We start from the raw sequence: 22,786 nt of genomic DNA on the forward strand, positions 1-22,786 counted from the left end.
TTTCACTTTATATACTTTAAGCTGGGAGATTTTTTGTTTTTTTGTTTTGTTTTGTTTTGTTTTGAGACAGAGTCTGGCTCTGTCACCCAGGCTGGAGTGTGGTGGCATGATCTCAGCTCACTGCAACCTCTGCCTCCTAGGCTCAAGCCATTCTCCTACTTCAGCCTCCCATGTAGCTGGGACTATAGGCACACACCACCACACCTGGCAAATTTTTATATTTTTTTGTAGATATGGGGTTTTACCATATTGCCCAGCCTGGTCTCAAACTCCTGAGCTCAAGCTATATGCCTGCCTCAGCCTCCCAAAGTCCTGGGATTATGGGTGTGAGTCATCACACGCGGCCTTGGAAGATTTTTAATAAAGGGAATTAGATGCTTACAAAATTATTGGGAAGGCTGGGGAAGCAAAAGGCAAGGGGAAATAGTTGCTGACTTTCAGAAAATCTGGAAGTACAGGAATCCCGTGAAGCTACTATGATCTCAGAAGCAGGAGTGACTATAAGCTTTTTTTTTTTTTTTTACCAGAAAGACTTTGCATTTCTTCAACATCATACCTTTGTCAGGTCAGAGTTCTCATTATTTTTCAATGTTTTTCAGCATGTCAAAAGCAACCAGGAATTGTCAGAGAAGCTATCTAAGCTACAGCAAGAGAAGGAAGCTCTACGTGAAGAATATTTGCGATTATTGAAGCTGCTTAATGTCCATGTGAGGTAAACAAAGACAAGTTCTCTTTGGAAGAAAACTATGTAGAGTAGTTATTTCTTGCTGAGCAGGCTCTAGGGCTAAATGGTGGGCTGCTCACTGAAGCAACCTTTCAAGAGGGCCATCATAAAATTCCTATGTTTCCAAAAGTGCTATCCACAGGGCTTTTCCTAGGGAAATATGGGGCCTAATTTCTTCTCAAGAGAGGGAAGGAGAAGGGAATTACCATTCATTGAGCTTTGATGGTATTGAACTTGTTTTTCCCCAAATACACCCTTCTCACTTGCCTTCACACTTTTTTTCACCTCACATACTTTCCTCAGCCTGAACCACCCTCTCCTCATTTAAAGAGCTTTTTTATTTTTTATTTTAGAGAACTGACACAAAATATTACTAATATGTATATTATATAGATGTTATATATAATGATATACCTATTACATATATGGTACTTATATATTCTCTCTTTCTATACATACATACATACATACATATATGTATATCAGGCAAATACCATTGTCCAAAGGTAAAATGACATTTGGTTTTTAGGCAGTTAATTTTTTTTTCATTTTACATATAATGAAACAACATTGCAAAAAAAAATTCTTTTTTCAGATAGGATCTCACTCTGTCACCCAGGCTGGAGTGGAGTGTCACGATCACAACTCACTGCAGCCTCAACCTCCTGGGCTCAAGTGATCCTCCCACCTCAGTCTCCTGAGTAGATGGGACTGCAGTCATGTACAGGCTCACCCAGCTCACTTTTTAATTTTTTTATAGAGACAGGGGTCTCACTATGTTGCCTCAAGTGATCCTCCTTCCTTGGCCTCCCAAAATGCTGGGATTATAGGCAGGCATAAGCCACTGTGCCCAGTGCAATTTTTTTTTTGTAATTATTTATGGCACACCTCTCAGTGTAAAATTTTTGAATGAAACAAAACTTATGCAGACATTCTCCCAAGTTCACTCCTAGTGTCTTGTCAATAAACATAATTTTATGGTTTTATTATAGCTTTCATAAAAGTTTTATACTGTCTTTCTCTTAATATCATATGATAAGCATTGTGCTTTGTTGCTATAGTCTTCAAATTTGCTATTTCCATAAAACTTAATATTTCATGAAGTTGATATGCCCTTGCACTAACAGCAGCAGTTAAACAGGGTACAACTGCTAACAGACAAACAGAACATACAATTACAGTGCTAACAAATGTATACCTTATTTCAGGAATAGGATATCATATAGAAACAGCATTAGAGGAAGAATATGCATTAGAGCCCATGTGTGTTTCACAGCAAGGGGGCCAGAGAAGTCAGGCAGCAGCTGCAATGTTGTTCACTCTGTAAGGGTCGTGGCTGGATGCACTTCCTCCCTCAGATCAGGAACCACTCATGTGTGCATTGACCACCTCACAACCAGGGAGCCCAAAACCAAGTCTCAGCTGAGATTTTATTAAATACTTTTTATATTCTGTTGTTCACATAAGCATATTCCTGCCATGTAACCTGTTTCAAGAGCAGAGACTTCTTGGGGGTCTCAATGAGACCAGGTGCAAATCATCATTATCACTGTTATCAATAAACAATGCTGATAAACTGGTACAAACTGCCATGAAACTACTTGGACCTGAGGTTATGATGCCACACTATTTTAATCGTTATATTTCCCTCTGTCGTATGCTTGACCAACAGTCAGTGCCAAACAGGCACTTTAGCAAAACAGTTTAGGTTAATCCTAGACCTGCTGGAATTAACTCTCACAACATAATCCTAATTTGGTTAAGAATTACTCACTGGTCTGATGGTTGAATATTTTTATTCAAAACAGTGCTGAAAAAAATCATTTTAGTATTATATTTTTCATTTTTAAATTTATTTTTATAGAACTATAGATCTTAAAATGTATTGACAAACATTCCAAAGTATCCTACTATTACCAGAAAGGGGTCCTGAACCCAGACCCCAACAGAGGGTTCTTGGAAATCATGCAAGAAAGAATTCGGGGCAAATCTAAAAAGTAAAGTAAAAGCAAACTTACTAAGGGAGTAAAGAAATAAAAGAATGTCTGCTCTATAGACAGAGGCTGCCCCGAGGGCTGCTGGTTGGCTATTTTTATGGTTATTTCTTGATTGTAAATATGGGGTGGATTATTCACGTGCTTTATTTTATTTTATTTTATTTTAGTTTTTTGAGGCGGAAACTCGCTCTGTCGCCCAGGCTGGAGTGCAGTGGCACGATCTCGGCTCACTGCAAGCTCCGCCTCCCAGGTTCACGCCATTCTCCTGGCTCAGCCTCCAGAGTAGCTGGGACCACAGGCGCCCACTGCCACGCCCGGCTTATTTTTTTTTGTATTTTTAGTAGAGACGGGGTTTCACCGTGTTAGCCAGGATGGTCTCGATCTTCTGACGTGATCCACCCGCCTCGGCCTCCCAAAGTGCTGGGATTACAGGCGTGAGCCACCGTGCCCGGCCTATTCATGTGCTTTCTGGGAAGGGGACAGGAATTTTTCCAGAACTGAGGGTTCCTCTTTTTTTTAGTCTATATAGGGTAATTTCCAGATGTTGCCATGGCATTAGTAAACTGTCATGGCGCTGATGGAAGTGTCTTTTATCATGCTAATACATTATAATTAGCATATAATGGGGAGTGAGGACGACCAGAGGTCACTTTCATTGCCATATTGGTTTTGGCTGGTTTTGGCTGGCTTCTTTACTGTATTCTGTTTTATCACAGGGATCTTTGTGACCTGTATCTTGTGCCGACTTCCTATCTCATCCTGTGATTAAGAATGCCTAACTCATGGGAATGCAGCCCAGCAAGTCTCATTCTCATTTTACCCAGCTTATTCAACATGGAGTTGCTCTGGTTCAAATGCCTCTGACACTACCAAATTTTTCTGCCTTCATTATATAAGAGTAGCAATTTTACCACATCCTCGTTAGCATTGAATACTACTATTGATGGGGGAGAGAGGTTCTGATGAAATTTTCCCCAATATTCTTTTTTTTTTTTTTTTGAGATGGAGTCTCGCTCTGCCGCCCAGGATAGAGTGCAGTGGCCGGATCTCGGCTCACTGCAAGCTCCACCTCCTGGGTTCACGCCTTTCTCCTGCCTCAGCCTCCCGAGTAGCTGGGACTACAGGCGCCCGCCACTACGCCTGGCTAATTTTTTGTATTTTTATTACAGACAGGGTTTCACCGTGTTAGCCAGGATGGTCTCGATCTCCTGACCTCGTGATCCACCCGCCTCGGCCTCCCAAAGTGCTGGGATTACAGGCGTGAGCCACCGCACCTGGCCAATATTCTTTAATTGAGATATAATTTGCGTATAATAAATGCAAAGATTTTTAAATGTACAATTGGATAAGTTTTGACAAATGTTTGTGCCCATATTACCACCACCCCAATGAAGATACAGAACAGGGCCAGGCGCAGTGGCTTATGCCTGTAATCCCAGCACTTTGGGAGGCTGAGGCGGGCAAATTACGTGAGCTCAGGAGTTCAAGACCAGGCCAGGCAACATGGTGAAACCCTGTCTCTACCAAAAATACAAAAATTAGCTAGGCATGGTGGTGCACATCTGTGGTCCCAGCTACTCAGGAGGCTGAGGCAAGAGGACCACTTGAGCCCAGGAGGCAGATATTGCAGTGAGCCAAGATCATGCCACTGCACCCTAGCCTGAATGACAGAGTAAGACTCCATCTCGAAAAAAAAAAAAAAGATACAGAATATTTCTACTGTCCTTTAAAAGTTCTCTATGACCTGTTTGCAGATGATCTGCACCTACTGCTTCTCCCATCTCCCTCCAAGTAGCTACTGTTCTGATTTCTGCCTGTCCTAGAATTTCTTCTAAATGGAATTATACTACATGTAATGGTAACCATAATAGGTTTGTTGCCCAATGCACACAGCAAGTCAATACACCAAGCCACTGGGTTGCAGCAGAGAAAGAGGTTTAATCGTAGAGTCATCAAATGAGGAGATGGGAGGAAACCTCAAATCCATCTCCTTGAGGAACTTAGGTTTAGGGTTTTTAAGGATTTTGGATTGGGCCAAAATGTGAAGATGGTTGATAGGTCAAAGAGTCCAGGGTGAAGTCATAGGACAGGGAGATGAAGTAGCTATATTCTCATGCTGATGCTGTTCCTCTCTGGGGGTTTTCAAACTGGTTGCTGGAATTTGTGTCTGAAAAACATCTTAAGCAACTCCTTTGGTTTGTTTGTTTGTTTTTTGAGACAGGATCTCACTCTCTTGCCCAGACTCTGGAGTGCAGTGGCCTGATCTTGGCTCACCGCAACCTCTACCTCCCAGGCTCAAGCAATTCTCCTGCCTCAGCCTCCCGAGTAGCTGGGATTACAGGCGCACGCCACTACTGCCCGGCTAATTTTTATATTTTTAATAGAGATGGGGTTTCACCATGTTGGCTAGGCTGGTCTTGAGCTCCTGACCTCAAATGATCCACCCGCCTCAGCCTCCTGTAATCCCTGCTGGGATTAAAGGTGTGAGCCACCGCGCCCGGCCAAGCAATTCTTAAAAAAAACCCTACGATTCTAAATGTTAGAGGTCCTGTCTGTAGGAACAATGGGGATGCAAATGATCAGTATCTAATGCTGTGTGACTTTTAGCAACAAGGAAGTGGACCAAAGTGAAGCCTGATTAATGCTTTATTATAATTATATTGCTGTCCAGAACCCAGCATGTACTTCCTGTCAACCTTGTTGGGGCAGCTTCATACTCTTTTGTGTCTGACTTCTTTTGTTCAACATATTCTATTATTTTTAAGTGCACTTATAGACAGAAATTACTTGTGATTTTATTTTGAACTTGTTTTTTGTTTTTTTGGTTTTTTTTTTAGATGGAGTCTCGCTCTGTCACCTAGGCTGGAGTGCAGTGGCACAATCTCTGCTCACTGCAACCTCCGCCTTCTGGGTTCAAGCGATTCTCCTGCCTCAGCCTCCCGAGTAGCTGGAACTACAGGTGCATGCCACCACACCCAGCTAATTTTTTTATTTTTAGTAGAGACAGGGTTTCGCCATATTGGCCAAGCTGGTCTCGAACTCCTGACCTCAGACGATCCACTCGCCTTGGCCTCCCAAAGTGCTGGGATTACAGGCATGAGCCACTGTGCCTGGCCTATTTTGAATTTCTTTGATGGCTAGTGAGGCTGAATGTTTTTCCACATTATTTGTACACAGCCTTTTAGGGTGGTGGATTCTGACCCCGCTGCACATGCCTGGGCTCCAACATAGAAGAATAAAATAAAAACCTGTGGGCACAGGGTCTGTGGATCAATACTTTTCTAAAAGCATCCTTGTGTGATTCTAATGTGCATCCGAGGTTGAAAACTATATTTAGGAAAGAAAATGGAAGGAATTAATTGAAACTCTACCTTTATTTTTGTTTTCATTTCCCTGATCCCAGTCCTGACTTTCACAGGCAATGGTTATTTTTTACGTTTTCTCTACCACTTTTCCAGAGGAACAGTTCCCTTGCTTTTTTCAAATCAAAGTATAGACAACCTGGTTTTACTTAAACACAAGCTAAAAGTTGTTCCTAAATTTTAGAACATAAATATTGTGTCACCTCATAACATTAATAGTTAACAAAGCCAAAAATAAGCATAGAAAATCTACATGTTCTTCAGGCAAGGTAGCCAACAGGACTTCAGACCGAACCAATAGTAGCGACAAATAGCCAGCAATGACAAGGGAAGCTCTAAGTTCTCACCAGCTGTACTGCATCAACATGCTTTCCAAACCGTGTGTAACATTACGGAGAGTATCCTAAATATCAAATAATAGGAGACTAATTAGGTAAAGTATAATACAGTCACTTAATAGGACATAATACAGCTGTAAAGGATGATGGCTGTGAATATTAGATAACAATGTGGGAAAATGCTTATACTGTAATAAGTGAAAAGAGCATACGATAAACATTTTGATGCAGACAATGTTTAAACAAAAGATGCTTATAAAAGGAATTAGAAGGAAATACAATATCATAGTACTGGTCATATTGGGAGTTGGGGATTTTCCCAAACTTTCTGTAATTAATTCTTTTAAATAATAAATTGGTCTGGCATGGTGGCTCACACCTGTAATCCCAGCACTTTCAGAGGCCAAGGCAGGAGGATCACTTGAACCCAGGAGTTCAAAACCAGCCTAGGGAACGAAGTGAGATCTCGTCTCTACCAAAAAAAAATTTTTTTAAGGAATAAATTAATTTTTTTAATTACCCAAATGGCAGAATAAGAGAGCAGCTGTCTGGCATGAGAAGTTAGAGACTTGGGTTTTAATATTCCAGTATAGGATAGGTGAAAGAAATTCCAGAAATGTAACACCCAATGGGTTCTACTTGTCCACTGCCTAGACAGAGCTGATTTATCAAGACAGGGGAATTGCAAGACAGAAAAAGATTAATTCATGCAGAGTCAGCTGTATGGGAGACGAGAGTTTTATTACTCAAATCAGTCTCCCCAAAAATTTGATGATAGGGGTTTTTAAGGAAAATTTGGTGGGTAGGGGGTTAGAAAGTGGGGAGTGTTGATTGATCAGGTCGAAGACTAAATCACAGAAAGTTGAAGCTGTCCTCTTGCACTGAGTCAGTTCCTGGGTGGGGGCCACAAGACCACATGAGCCAGTTTATCTATCTAGGTGTCATCAGCTGGTGCACCTCAACACAGGGTCTGCAAAATATCTCAAGCACTGATCTCAGGTTTACAACAGTGACTCCTAAACCATAATTTCTAATCTTGTGGCTCATTTGTTAGTCCTGCAAAGGCAGTCTAGTCCCCAGGCAAGAAGGGGGTTTGTTTTGGGAAAGGGCTGTTATCAAGTTTGTTTTGAAGTTAAACTATAAACTAAGTTTCTCCCAAAGTTAGTTGGGCCTACACCTAGGAATGAACAAGAACAGCTTGGAGGTTAGAAGTAAGATGGAGTTAGTTAGGTCAGATCTCTTTCACTATTATAATTTCTTCAGTCATAATTTTTGCAAAAACAGTTTCAGAAGTACATGTTGTATTATAAACGATGTTAAAACATCAGAGCAACTGTGAACAGCTGGGAAACCCAGAGGATGACAGGTATACTGCTGGATCTTACATCTCTGAAGCTATAGACTGGAGGATGTTGAAAACCAGTGATATCTTTTTTTTTTTTTTTTTTTTTTTTGAGATGGAGTTTTGCTCTTGTTGCCCAGGCTGGAGTGCAGTGGTGCCATCTCAGCTCACCGCAACCTCCGCCTCTCAGGTTCAAGCAATTCTTCTGCCTCAGCCTCCCGAGTAGCTGGGATTACAGGCATGTGCCACCACGCCCAGCTAATTTTGTATTTTTAATAGAGACAGGGTTTCTCCATGTTGGTCAGGCTGGTCTGGAACTCCCGACCTCAGGTGATCCACCTGCTTCGGCCTCCCAAAGTGCTGGGATTACAAGCGTGAGCCATCATGCCTGGCTGAAAACCAGTGATATCTTTTACCAAACGTTCCTAGCAGAAAGGAGAATGAGAACAGTTATGAAGTGTACCTTTTTGTAAAGAATACCTCCTTATAAAGAACCTAAGTCACAGCTGTGGTAATTGTGAACAACACAGTCTGCAAAAGTACATGCCTATATTATGTAGTGGGTGCTGATGGTGGCTCAATGGATCAAAAGCCTAGGCTCCCTCTATCTTGTTTTTGCTTCACCATCTTTAACATGTTTCCCTTATCCACATAGTTCAAAATAATTCACTACCATATCCACATATCAGGCAGTAAGAAAGAACGACGGGAAGGCAAGGGCATTCCATTTTCCTTTAAGGCACACTACTTCCATTCATATTCTGTTGGCCAGAACTTACTTACATGGCCTCATTTAACTGCAATAACTCATCCTATGCTGAGTAATATTCTGTTGGCCAGAACTTACATGGCCTCATATAACTGCAAGGAAAGCCAGAAAATGTAGTTCCTATGCTGAGTAAACCAGTGCCCAGCAAAAAAAAATCGGGGTATATAATGTAGAAGAAGGAGAAGTTGGATTGGGTACAACCCCAGCAGTCAATCACTCCGGCATGCACTGACAAGCAAGCTATATCTAGCTTTGTATACATGCCTCTGGCCTACAGGAAGCCAAACTGTTCAGTTTGGTATCTGGCTAAATTAATCTCTTCAGGGAAAAACATGCAAAATGATTCTTTTATGTACACTTAACAAATAGGAGAAAGAGGAGTACTATTTTGGAAAATGGAGGAGCCCTGCAAAAACGCATTTAAGGGTAAGACATAACTTAGCAGGGGCCAAGGGAAAACTTCTCCTTTACCCTCTGAAGGTTCACTGAAAAATCAACTGACAAAAGGCAGATAAATAGGAGAAATAGTATGCAAATCTATTAATGTGTGTGTGGGAGAACCACAGAAAGATTACCCCAGTCTCCAATGAGGTATAGAAGCTTATACACCATCTTGAGATTACAGAAAGAATGGGGGCTTAGATCATGGCAAAACAGGTTAAGGGAAGGGGAGAAGAGGAGGCCTCCCTAGCAAAGGTGGTCTTGTTATATAGATGAAACCTCACAGGTATTATAGCAGCCCTCAGAGAGAATAGATAGTCAATATCGCTTTCACACCTTTAAAGGTTTCAGACTCTCAGTGAATCTTTCCTAGATCTGACAAAGGAAGGAAGGCCCTCAGAGAAAGCCTGGCTGAATTTATTCTCTATAGATGCAAATCCCCGCCCCCCATCCACCTGCTCCCATGAAAGACAACTTTTCAACTGTTCTTGTATTTCCAGCCATTCTGAATAGGTATCCTGAAATATATCAAGGAAATATACTTTGGAGTGAAATATTTTCATTTCCTTCAACTTACAAGGATATAGGACTCCCTTGGAGTAGTTCTTCCATACCAGTTTAACTAAAATTAGCATCTAGATAAGTCTGCTTTGTTCTTCCAATCCCTTCTGGTTGTACAAAATGAAGTATATCTCATCAGGAGAAATCAGGAATATCTGTTTGCCTACTTTTGTTAGTATTATAGCAGTGGGGTATGATGGGAAGATCATAGGCTCTGGGGTCAGATTCTTCTCTTTAGAATAACTTCTTTTAAATAACTTCTCAGGAGCTAAATGATAAAAACCTATGAACACAAAGAAGGAAACAACAGATGCTGAGGTCTACTTGAGGAGTAGGGGAAGAGAGAGAGGAGTAGAAAAGAACTATTGGGTACTGTGCTCAATACCTGGGTGATGAAATAATATCTGCAACAAACTCCTGTGGCACGTTTTGACCTGTGTAATAAACCTTCACATGTGCCCCCAAACCTAAAATGAAATGTAAAAAAACAAGCTTTTATAAAACTAGAAAACACCAGTAACCTTGAACTGTACAATATTTGAGGAAGAGCTGCCTGCAGGGAAGTTCAAACAAGAGTGTGGGGAAATACCTACAGACCTCGCTGGCTCAAGATCTCAAATAAATCAGGCAGAGCACAGTTATTCAAAGTATGTGGGACAATATGAGGGGCAAAAAAAAAAAAAAAGTAACTTGTCTCTCAGGAATCTCCAAGACTCCCCTCAGGTTTGATGACTCCCTAGAATGAAGTGCAAAACTCAGAAAAACAGCTATGGTTATGGTTTATTACAGTGAAAGGATACAGATTAAAATCAGCTAAGGAAAAAGGCACACAGCTCACAGATCTCAAGAAAAGACTTACTTATGTTACCCATCTATTACAAAGGATATTACAAATGATACAGATGAACAGCCAGGTGGAAGAGATGAACAGAGCACATCATCCCTTCCCATGAAGGGGCTTGGAGTTTCTATACCCTCTCTGGGTGCACCACCCTCCAGGAACCTGTGTTCAGCTATTTAGAAGTCCCCCAAACCCAGTCCTTTTGGGCTTTTTTGAAAGTTTCATGAGGTAGCCATTGTCAACCTAAAGGGAAGAAGCTGAGGCAAAATTAATGTAAGTAGAGAATTTATTTGATCCAGGCTTAGGGATTACAACCCAGAGCATAGATTCAAATTGCCCTGAATATACAATCTGATTAGCAGAAGTTACAAGTGGATTTTTAAACAAAAATTTTATTTTTAATTTTTATAGGTACATAGTAGGTGTGTGTATTTATGCAGTACATGAGATGTTTTGATACAGGCATGCAATGAGTAATAATCACATCGTGGAGAATGGGGTACTCATCCCCTCAAGCATTTGCATTACAAATAATATGATTATACTTTTTTGGTTTTTCTCTTTTCTTTTCTTTTTTCTTTTTCAGGGTCTTGCTTTGTTGCCCAGGCTGGGAGTGCAGTGGCGCAATCTCAGCTCACTGCAGCCTTGACCTCCTGGGCTCAAGTGATCCTTCCACTTCAGCCTCCACAGTAGCTGGGACTGCAGGCATGTGCCACCACACCTGGCTAATTTTGTTTATTTTATTTTATTTATTTATTTATTTATTTATTTATTTTGAGATGGACTCTCGCTCTGTGGTCTAGGCTGGAGTGCAGTGGCGTGATCTCTGCTCACTGCAAGCTCCGCCTCCCGGGTTCACGCCATTCTCCTGCCTCAGCCTCCGGAGTAGCTAGGACTACAGGCGCCTGCCACCACGCAGGCTAATTTTTTTGTATTTTTAATAGAGACAGGGTTTCACTGTGTTAGCCAGGATGGTCGCGATCTCCTGACCTTGTGATCCGCCCGCCTCGGCCTCCCAAAGTGCCGGGATTACAGGTGTGAGCCACCGCGCCCGGCCTAATTTTGTTTATGTTTGTAGAGTCAAGGTCTTACTATGTTGCCCAGGCTGGTCTCGAACCTGTGTGCTCAAGCAATTCTCCTGCCTCAGCCTCCCAAAGTGCTGGGATTACGGGTGTGAGCCACTGCAACTGGTCTGTTTCTTTAGTTATTTTTAAATGTACAATCTAAAAAAATGTACAATTATTGACTATAGTCTTATTCATTCTTTATTTTTTATAGTTAAAACTTTTTTTATAGTCATACGCATTAACCATCCCCACCTCCCCCAATTTCCCCACTACTCTTCCCAGTCTCTGGTAACCATCTTGTACTCTCTATCTCCATGAGTTGAATTGTTTTGATTTTTAGATCCCACAAATAAATGAGAACATATGATGTTTGTCTTTCTGTGCATGGCTTATTTCACTTAGCATAATGACCTCCAGTTCCATCCATGTATTGCAAATGACAGGATCTCATTCTTTTTTACGGCTGAATAGTATTCCATTATGTATAAGTACCATATTTTCTTTATCCAATCATCTGTTGGTGGACATTTAGGTTGCTTGCCAATATTGGCTATTGTGAACAGTGCTGCAAAAAACATGGGAGTGCAGATATCTCTTCGATATACTGATTTCCTTTCTTTTGGATATATACTCAGCAGCGGGATTGCTCAAATATATGATAGCTCAATGTTTAGGTTTTATTGTTTTTTGTTTTTGAAACAGTCTTGCACCTTCTTTCTCACTGCAAACTCTGCCTCCCAGGTTCAAGCAATTCTTCTGCTTCAGCCTCCTGAGTAGCTGGGATTACAGGCGTACTTATGCACCACCGCACCTGGCTTTTTTTTTTCTTTGTATTTTTAGTAGAAATGGGGTTTCGCCATGTTGGCCAGGCTGGTCTTGAACTCCTGAAGTGATCCGCCCGCCTTGGCCTCCCAAAGTGCTAGGATTACAGGCATGGGCCACTACGATGCCCAGCCTCAATTTTTAGTTCTTTGAGGGACCCCCAAGATGTTCTCCATAGTGGTTGTACTAATTTACATTCCCATTAATAGTGTATGAGGGTTCCCTTTTCTCCACATCCTCATCAGCATTTGTCATTGCCTGTCTTTTGCATAAAAGCCATTTTAACTGGGGTGCGATGACCTCTCATTGTAGTTTTGATTTGCATTTCTCTGATAATCAATGATGTTGAGCACCTTTTCATATGCCTGTTTGCCATTTGTATGTTTTCTTTTCAGAAATGTCTATTCAAATATTTTGACCATTTTAAAATCAGATTATTGGATTTTTTCCTACATAGTTGTTTGAGTTCCTTATATATTCTGGTTATTAAACCCTTGTCAGATGGGCATTTTGCAAATATTTTCCCTATTCCATGGGTTGTCACTTCACTTTGTTGATTGTTTCCTTTGCTGTGCAGAAGATTTTTTTTAACTTGATGTGATTCCATTTGTCCATTTTTGCTTTGGTTGCCTGCACTTGTGGGGTATTACTCAAGAAATTTTCTCACAGACCAATATCCTGGAGAATTTCCCCAGTGTTTTCTTATAGTACTCTTACACTTTGAGGTCTTAGATTTAAGTCCTTAATCAATTTTGATTTGATTTTTGTATACAGTGAGAGATAGGGATCTAGTTTTATTCTTCTGCATATGGACATCCAGTTTTCCCAGCACCATTTATTGAAGAGACTATCTTTTCCCTGGTGTATGTTCTTGGCACCTTTGTCAAAATGAGTTCACTGTAGGTGTGTGGATTTGTTTCTGGGTTCTCTATTCTGTTCTATTGGTCTATGTGTCTATTTTTATGCCAGTACTATACCATTTTGGTTATCATAGCTCTGTGTATAATTTGAAGGCACGTAATGTGATTTCTCCAGTTTTGTTCTTTATGCTTAGGATGTCTTTGGCTATTCTGGGTCCTTTGTGGTTTCATATAAATTTTAGGATAGTTTTTTCTATTTCTGTGAAGAATGTCATTGGTATTTTGGTAGGGATTGCATTGAATCTGTAGATTGCTTTTGGTAATATGGACATTTTAACAATATTGATTCTTCCAATCCAAGAACATGGAATATCTTTCTGTTCTTTGGTGTCCTTCAATTTCTTTCATTAGTGTTCTATAGTTTTCAGTATAGAGATCTTTCACTTTGTTGGTTAAGCTAATTCCTAGGTATTTAATTTTATGTCTGGCTATTATAAATGGAATCGCTTTTTAATTTCTTTTTCAGATTGTTCCCTGTTGGCATATAAAAATGCTACTGATTTTTGTATGTTGATTTTCTATTCTGCAACTTTACTGAATTTGTTTATGAGTTCTAGTACTTCTTTAATGGAGTCTTTAGGTTTTTCCAAATATAAAATTATATCATCTGCAAACAAGAATAATTTGACTTCTTATAAATTTGTTTCTTATAAAATTGTTTCTTCTGTCCCCAGTTTCTTGAGAGTTTTTATCATGAAAGGATGTTGAATTTTATCAAATGCTTTTCCAGCATCAGTTGAAATAATCATATGGTTTTTGTCCTGTTGATATGATGTATCACATCATTTGTCATTCTGTTGATATAATGTATCACATTGATTGATTTGTGTATGTTGAACCATCCTTGCATCCCAGGGATAAATCCCACATGGTCATGATGATCTTTTTAATGTATTATCGAATTCCATTTGCTCGGTTTTTCATTTGTTTGTTTTGAGACAGGGTCTCACCCTGTCACCCAGACTGGAGTGCAGTGGTGTGATCTTGGCTTACTGCAAACTCCACCTTCCAGGCCCAAGCAATCCTCCCACCTCAGCCTCCTGAGTAGCTGAGACCACAGGCATACCCCATGATGCCCAACTAATTTTTAATTTTTTGTAGAGATGGAGTCTTGCTATGTTATCCAAGCTGGCCTTGAACTCCTGAGGTCAAGCTGTCCTCCTGCCTCAGCTTTCCAAAGTGTTGGGATTGCAGACATGAGTCCACTGCATACAGCTGGTTTGCTACTATTTTGTTAAGGATTTTTGTGTCAATATTCATCAGTGATAGTGGCCTGCAGTTTTCTTTTTTGTATGTGTCTTTGTCTGGTTTTGGTATTAGGATAACACTGGTCTTGTAGAATGAGTTTGGAAAGATTTCCTTCTCCTCTATTTTTCAAAATAGTTTGAGTAGGATTGGTATTATTTCTTTAAGTGTTTGGTAGAATTCAGCAGTGAAGCCATTGGGTTCTGGCCTTTTCTTTACTGGGGGACTTTTTTTTATGGCTTTGATTTCCTTATTTGTTATTGGTCTGTTCAGGTTTTAGATTTTTTCATGGTTCAATCTTTGTTATGTTGTATGTGTTTAGGAGTTTGTTCATTTCTTCTAGGTTTTCCAATTTACTGAATTTAGTTGCTCATAATAGCCACTAACGATACTTTGAATTTCTGTGGTATTAGTTGTAATATCTCATTTTTTGTCCCTGATTTTATTTATTTGGATCTTCTCTTTTTCTTAGCCTGCTAAAGTTTTGTTGATTTTAACTTTTCAAAAAAACAACTTTTTGTTTCATTGATCTTTTGTATTGTTTTCTTCATTTCGATTTCATTTATCTCTGCTCTGATCTTTATGATTTCTTTTCTTCTACTAATTTGGGATTTCATTTGCTCTTGTTTCTCTAGTTCTTTAAGATGCATCATTAGATTGTTTATTTGCAGGTTTTTTTTTATGTAGGCACTTACAGCTATAAACTTACTGCTTTTGCTGTATCCCATAGGTTTTGGTATGTTGTGTTTCCATTATCATTCGTTTCAATAAATTTTTCAATTTCCTTCTTAATTTTTTCATTGGCCCACTGGTCATTCAGGAGCATATTGTTTAATTTCCATGTATTTGTATAGTTTCCAAAATTCCTCTTGCTGTTTATTTCTAGTTTTATTCCAATATGGTCGGAGAAAATGCTTGATATTATTTCAGTTTTTTTAATGTTTTAATACTTGTTTTGTGACCTGATGGTTTATCTTTGAGAATGATACATATACTGAGGAGAAGAAGGTGTATTCTACAGCCATTGGATGAAATGTTCTGTAAATATCTATTAGGTCCATTTGGTCTATAATGCAGATTATATCCAATGTTTCTTTGTTGATTTTCTGTCTGGAAAATCTGTCCAATGCTGAAAGTGAGGTGTTGAAGTCTCCCTCTATTACTGTATTGGGATCTGTCTCTCTCATTAGCTCTAATAATACTCCCTTTATATATCTGGGTGCTCCAGTGTTGGGCATATATATGTATTTATAATTGTTATATCCTCTTGCTAAATTGACCCCTTTATTATTATATAATGACCTTTTTGTCTTTTCTTATAGTTTTTGTTTCAAAATCTATTTTGTCTGATATAAGTATAGCTACTTCTGCTCTTTTTTGGTTTCCATTGTCATGGAATATCCTTTTCCATCCCTTTGTTTCCAGTCTATTTGTATCTTTATAGGTAAAATGTCCTTTTTGTAGGAAATAGATCATTGAGTCTTGCTTTTTAATCCATTCAGCCAGTCTATGTCTTTTGATTGGAAGGTTTAGTCCATTTACATTCAATATTATGATTGATAAGTAAGGACTTAATACTCCTGATGTTTTCTTATTTGTTTTCTGGTTGTTTGTAGTCTTCTCTTCCTTCTTCCTTTCCTTCCTGTCTTTCCTTTAGTGAAGGTGATTTTCTCTGTGATATGATTTAGTTTCCTTTTTATTTTTTGTATATATGTTGTATTTTTTTTGGTTTGAGGTTACCATAAGGCTTGCAAATACTATCTGATATGAGTTCACTGTGTCCGCAGCCAAATCTCAACTTGAACTTTATCTCCCAGAATTCCCACATGTTGTGGGAGGGACCCAGGGGGAGGTAATTGAATCATGGGGGCCAGTCTTTTACTGTGCTATTCTTGTGATAGTGAATAAGACTCATGAGATCTGATGGGTTTATCAGGGGTTGCCGGTTTTGCTTCTTCCCCATTTTCTCTTGCCACTGCCATGTAAGAAGTCCCTTTCACTCCCGTCATGATTCTGAGGCCTCCCCAGCCATGTGGAGCTGTAAGTCCAATTAAACCTCTTTTTATTCCCAGTTTCAGGTATATATCTTTATCAGCAGTGTGAAAACGAACTAATACAGTAAATTGGTACCAGTAGATTGGGGCATTGCTGAAAAAATACCCAAAAATTTGGAAGCGACTTTGGAAGTGGATAACAGGCAGAGGTTGGAATAGTTTGGAGGGCTCAGAAGAAGACAGGAAAATGTGGGAAAGTTTGGAACCTCCTAGAGATTTGTTGAATGGCTTTGACAAAAAATGCTGATAGTGATATGAACAATAAGGTCCAGGCTGAGATGGTCTCAGATGGAGATGAGGAACTTGTTGGGAACTGGAGCAAGGGTGATTCTTGTTATGTTTTGGCAAAGAGACTAGTGCCATTTTGCCCCTGCCCTAGAGATTTGTGGAACTTTGAACTTGAGAGAGATGATTTAGGGTATCTGGTGGAAGAAACCTCTAAACAGCAAAGCATTCAAAACGTGACTTGGGTGCTGTTAAAAGCATTTCATTTTAAAAGGAAAACAGAGCATAAAAATTCAGAAAATTTGCAGACTGATGATGCAATAGAAAAGAAAACCCCATTTTTGAGGAGAAATTTAAGTTGGCTGCAGAAATTTGCATAAGTAGCAAGAAGCCTAATGTTAATCCCCAAGACCGTGGGAAAATGTCTCCAGGCCATGTCAGAGACCTTCACAGCAGACCCTTCCATCACAGGCACAGAGGCCCAGGAGGAAAAAGTGGTTTTGTGAGCCGGTCCCAGGGTCCCCATACTGTGTTCAGCCTAGGGACTTGGTGCCCTGTGTCCCAGCCACTCCAGCCATGGCTGAAAGGGGCCAACTTAGCACTTGGGCTGTGGCTTCAGAGGGTAGAAGCTTCAAGCTTTGACAGCTTCCATGTGGTGTTGAGTTTGTGGGTGCACAGAAGTCAAGAATTCAGGTTTAGGAACCTCCACCTAGATTTCAGAAAATGTATGAAATGCCTGGATGCCCAGGCAAAAGTTTGCTGTAGGGATAGGAACTTCTGCTAGGGCAGTGTGGAAGGGAAACATGGGGTTGGAGCCTCCACACAGAGTCCCTACTAGGGCACTGCCTAGTGGAGCTGTGAGAAGAGGGCCACCATCCTCCAGAACCCAGAATGGTAGATCCACTGGCAGTTTGCACCATGCACCTGGAAGAGCCACAGACACTCAATGCCAGCCCATGAAACAGCCAGGAGGGAGGCTATACCCTGCAAAGCCACAGGGATGGAACTGCACAAGACCATGGAAACCCACTTTTTGCATCAGTGTGACCTGGATGTGAGACCTGGAGTCACAGGAGATCATTTTGGAGCTTTAAAATTGACTGCCTCACTGGATTTCAGACTTGCCTGGGCCCTGTAACCCCTTTGTTTTAGCTAATTTCTCCCATTTGGAATGCTGTAGTTACCCAATACCTGTACCCCCATTGTATCTAGAAAGTAACTAGCTTGCTTTTGATTTTACAGGCTCATAGGCAGAAGGGACTTGCCTTGTTTCCGATGACACTTTGAACTGTGGACTTTTGGGTTAATGCTGAAATGAATGAAGACTTTTGGGGACTGTTGGCAAAGCATGATTGGTTTTGAAATGTGAGGACATGAGATTTGGAGGGGCCGGGGCAGAATGATATGGTTTGGCTTTGTCCCCACCCAAATCTTATCTTGAATTTTGTCTCCCAAAATTCCCACATGTTGTGCAAGGGACCCAGGGGGAGGTAATTGAATCATGGGGGCCAGTCTTTCCTGTGCTATTCTCGTGATAGTGACTAAGTCTCATGAGATCTGATGGGTTTATCAGAGGTTGCTGCTTTTGCCTCTTCCCCATTTTCTCTTGCCACTGCCGTGTAAGAAGTGCTTTTCACCTCCCACCATGATTCTGAGGCCTCCCCAGCCATGTGGAACTGTAAGTCCAATTAAACCTCTTTTTGTTCCCAGTTTTGAGTATGTATTTATCAGCAGCTTGAAAGCAAACTAATACACTATCTTATAGCTAATTATTTTAACGTGATTACAACTTAATATGGTTTGCATAAACAAAGAAGGAAAAAGAAAACTAATACTCTATACCCTAACTTCATCCCTCCACTTTTAAACTTTTACTTGTTTCTGTTTATATCTTATTGTACTATGTCTTGAAAATTGTTGTAGTCATTATTTTTTATTGGTTTATTGTTTAGTCTTTCTACTTAAGAGTAGTTTACACACTACAGTTACAGTGTTATATTTTGTGGTTTTCTATGTATTTACTATTACCAGTGAGTCTTATACCTTCAGAAGATTTCTTATTAGTCATTAACGTCCTTTGCTTTCTGATTGAAGTACTCCCTTTAGCTTTTCTTGTAGGACAGAACCAGTGTTGATGAAATCCTTCAGCTTTGTTTGTCTGGGAAAGTATTTATTTCCCCTTCATGCTTGAAGGATATTTTCACTGGATATACTATTCTAGGGTAAAAGTTTTTTCCTTCAGCACTTTAAATATGTCATGCCACTCTCTCGTGGCCTGTAAGGTTTCCACTGAAAAGTCTGCTGCCAGACATATTGGAGTTCTATTATATGTAATTTGTTTCTTTTCTCTTGCTGCTTTTAGTATCTTTTATTTTTGACCTTTGGAAGTTTGATTATTAAATGTCTTGAGGTAATCTTTGGGTTAAATCTTCTTGTTGTTCTATAACCTTCTTGTACTTGGATATTGATATCTTTCTCTAGGTTTGGGAAGTTATCTGCTATTATCCCCTTGAATAAACTTCCTACTCCTATTTCTTTTTCTTTTTCTTTTCTTTTTTTTTTTGAGACGGAGTCTCACTCTGTCACCCAGGCTGGAGTGCAGTGGCACGATCTCGGCTCACTGCAACCTCTGCCTCCCGGGTTCAAGCAATTCTTCTGCCTCAGCCTCCCAAGTGTGTGCCACCACACCCAGCTAATTTTTGTATTTTTAGTAGACATGGGGTTTCACCATATTGGCCCGGCTGGTCTTGAACTCCTGACCTCGTGATCCGTCGGCCTCAGCCTCCCAAAGTGCTGGGATTACGGGCGTGAGCCGCTGCATGGGCCCCTGTGTCTTTTCCTACACGCTCTTTAAGGCCAATAACTCTTAGATATGTCCCCCTATTTTTTTTTTTTTTTTTTTTTTTGAGATGAAGTCTGGCTCTGTTGCCCATGCTGGAGTGCAGTGCCGCAATCTCAGCTAACTGCAACCTCTAGCTCCCGGGTTCAAGCGATTCTCCTGCCTCAGCCTCCCAAGTAGCTGGAATTACAGGCATGTACCACTACACCCAGCTAATTTTTGTATTTTTAGTAGAGATGGGGTTTCACCATGTTGGCCAGGCTGGTTGTGAATGCCTGACTTCAGGTGATCTGCCCACTTTGGCCTCCGAAAGTGTTGGGATTACAGGCGTGAGCCACTGTTCCTGGCTAGATTTGCCCTTTTGAGGCTATTTTCCAAATCCTGTAGGTGTGCTTCATTCTTTTTTATTCCTTTTGTCTTTTGTCTCCTCTGCTTTTGTATTTACTTTTCTTTTTCTTTTTTTCTTTTTTTTTTTCAGATGGAGTCTCGCTCTGTTGCCCAGGTTGGAGTGCAATGGCATGAACTCAGCTCACTGCAACCTCTGCCTCCCAGGTTCAAGCAATTATCCTACCTCGACCTCCTGAGTAGCTGGAATTATAGGTGCGTGCCACCACACCTAGCTATTTTTGTATTTTTAGTAGAGACAGGGTTTTGCCATGTTGGCCAGGCTGTTCTCGAACTCCTGACCTCAGGTGACCTGCCTGCCTTGGCCTCCCCAAGTACTGGGATTACAGGCGTGAGCCACCGCACCTGGCCCTGTGTATTTTCAAATAGTCTATCTTCAAGTTTACTAATTCTTCTGCTTGATCAATTCTGCTATTAAATGACTCTAATGCATTCTGCAGTATGCCTATTGCATTTTTCAGCTCCAGAATTTCCTCTTGATTCTTTTTAATTATTTCAATCTCTGTTAAATTTATCTGATAAAATTCTGAATTCATTCTCTGTATTATCTTTAATTTCTTTGAGTTTCTTCAGAACAGCTATTTTGAATTTTCTGTCTGAAAGGTCACATATCTGTTTCTCCAGGATGGGTCCCTGGTGCCTTGTTTAGTTCATTTGGTGAGATCATGTTTTCCTGGAAGGTCTTGGTACTTATAGATGTTCATCTGTGTCTGGGCATTGAAGAGTTAGATACTCATTATAGTCTTTGCAGTCTGGGCTTATTTGTACCCATCCTTCTTGGGAAGACCTTCCAGATATTCAAAAGTACTTGGGTGTTGTCATCTAAGCTCTACCTGCTTTAGGAGACTCCCCAAGCCCAGTAATGCTATGGTTCTTGCAGATTGGTAGAGGTACTGCCTTAATGGTCTTGGAAAAGATCTGGATGAATTCCCTGGATTACTAGGCAGAGACTCTTGTTCTCTTCCCTCTTGTTCTCTTCCCTTACTTTCTCCTAGACAAATGGAGTCTCTCTCTATGTTCTGAGCCACTTGGAACTGGGGGTGGCATGACACAAGCACCCTTATGGCCACCACTAGGACTGTGTTGGGTCATACCTGAAGCCAGCACAGCACTGGGTCTCTCCCAAGTCCTGCTGTAACCACTCCCTGGCTACCAGCTATGACCACTCAAGTCCCTGGGCTCCGCAATCAGCAGATGCAAAGCCAGCAAGGCCTATGTCCTTCCTTTCAGGGCAGCGAGCTCCCCCATGCCCCAGGCAGGTCCAGTGGTGCCATCTGGGAGCCAGGGACTAGAATAAAAAAACCTGAGAAGTCCACCTGGTGTTCTGTTGTATTGTGGCTAGCCTGGTACTCAAACCCGAAAATGCAGTCCTTTCCACTCTTTCTTCCCGTTTCCAAAGGTAGAGGACCCTCACCTCATAGCCATTACCATCACAGGCCCATGGAGAGTACTGCCAGACTACCGCCAATGTTCCCTTAAGGCCCAGTGTCTCCTAAATCAGCTTGTGGTGAATGCTGCCTGGCTTGGTACTCACCCTCAGGATAATGGGCTCCCTTCTGGCCCAGGGCATGTCCAAAAATGCTGTTTAAGAGCCAAGTCCTGGAATCATAGACCCCAAGAGCCTTCCTGGTGCTCTACCCTACTGTGGCAAAGCTGATACCTATGCTGTAAGACTAAGTCCCTTTTATTTTTCCCTCCAGTTTTCTCAAGCAGGAGTTTCACCCTGTAGCCACCACAGCTGGGAATGTCTTGTCACCTGAATCCAGCAAGTCTCAGAGTCTCACCCAAGGCCCTTAATATAGTATCTGAGTATCGCTGCTGGTTACTCAGGGTCCAAGGGCTCTTCAGTTAGCAGATGATGAATCTTGCTGGGACTGGGTCCTTCCCTTCAAAGGAGCGGGTTTCCTTATGGCTTAGGGTATGTCCAGGAGCTAGGGCCTGGAAAGGGGGCCTCATTACTCTGACCAGTGCCCTATCCTGCTGTGGTTGAGGTGGGCGTGGTGGTACACACTTGTAATCCCAGCTACTCAGGAGGCTGAGGCAGGAGAATTGCTTGAACCTGCGAGGTGGAGGTTGCAGTGAGCCAAGATCATGTCACTGTACTCTAACCTGGGCAACAGAGTGAGACTCTACCTTAAAATAAGTAAATAAGGCCGGGGGCGGTAGCTCACGACTGTAATCCCAGAACTTTGGGAGGCTGAGGTGGGCGGATCACCTGAGGTCAGGAGTTCGAGACCAACCTCAACATGGAGAAACCCTGTCTCTACTAAAAATACAAAATTAGCCGGGCGTGATGGTGCATGCCTGTAATCCCAGCTACTTGGGAGGCTGAGGCAGGAGAATTGCTTGAACCTGGGAGGCGGAGGTTGCAGTGAGCCGAGATCGTGCCATTGTACTCTAGCATGGGCAACAAGAGCAAAACTCCATCTCAAAAAAAAAAAAAGTAAATAAATAACGTAAGCTATACATTGATTGGCAATACAGTGTTCTGTTTTTTTCAGAGACAGCCTTGCTCTGTTGCTCAGGCTGGAATGCAGTACACGATCTCAGCTCACTGCAACATTTGCCTCCCAGGTTCAAGCAATTCTGGTGCTTCAGTCTCCTGAGTAGCTGGGATTACAGATGTGCGTCACTATGCCCAGCTAATTTTTGTATTTTTAGTAGAGATGTGGTTTCACCGTGTTGGCCAGGCTGGTCTTGAACTCCTGGCCTCAAGTGATCTGCCCGCCTCTGCCTCCCAAAGTGCTGGGATTACAGGTGTAAGCCAACACGCCTGGCCAGCTATACATTATTCTTTGTATCACAAATTTCAAGAACAGAAAATAATGAGTGAG

The 22,786-nt window shown here is 41.2% G+C and overlaps 1 protein-coding gene and 1 long non-coding RNA gene across 12 annotated transcripts in view; one reads left to right on the forward strand and one right to left on the reverse strand.

Moving 5' to 3' along the window:
- The window catches only part of CCDC30 (coiled-coil domain containing 30), a 201,084-nt gene that overhangs the window by 154,272 nt on the left and 24,026 nt on the right, over positions 1-22,786 (forward strand). For 10 of the 11 annotated variants that reach the window (NM_001355226.2, NM_001395384.1, NM_001395517.1 and 7 more), the window contains one exon: positions 600-712. In NM_001355226.2, the coding sequence (NP_001342155.1) occupies positions 600-712 (113 nt within the window). Of the gene's footprint in view, positions 1-599; positions 713-20,025; positions 20,148-22,786 lie in introns of those variants that run through there. The other variant, XM_047429779.1, reaches the window with a different exon arrangement.
- LOC124904162 (uncharacterized) overlaps positions 1-22,786 on the reverse strand; it is a 104,986-nt gene that overhangs the window by 39,558 nt on the left and 42,642 nt on the right. The window lies entirely within an intron of this gene.

Source organism: Homo sapiens, chromosome 1, assembly GCF_000001405.40.
Source record: "Homo sapiens chromosome 1, GRCh38.p14 Primary Assembly".
NCBI classification, from domain to species: Eukaryota; Metazoa; Chordata; class Mammalia; order Primates; family Hominidae; genus Homo; species Homo sapiens.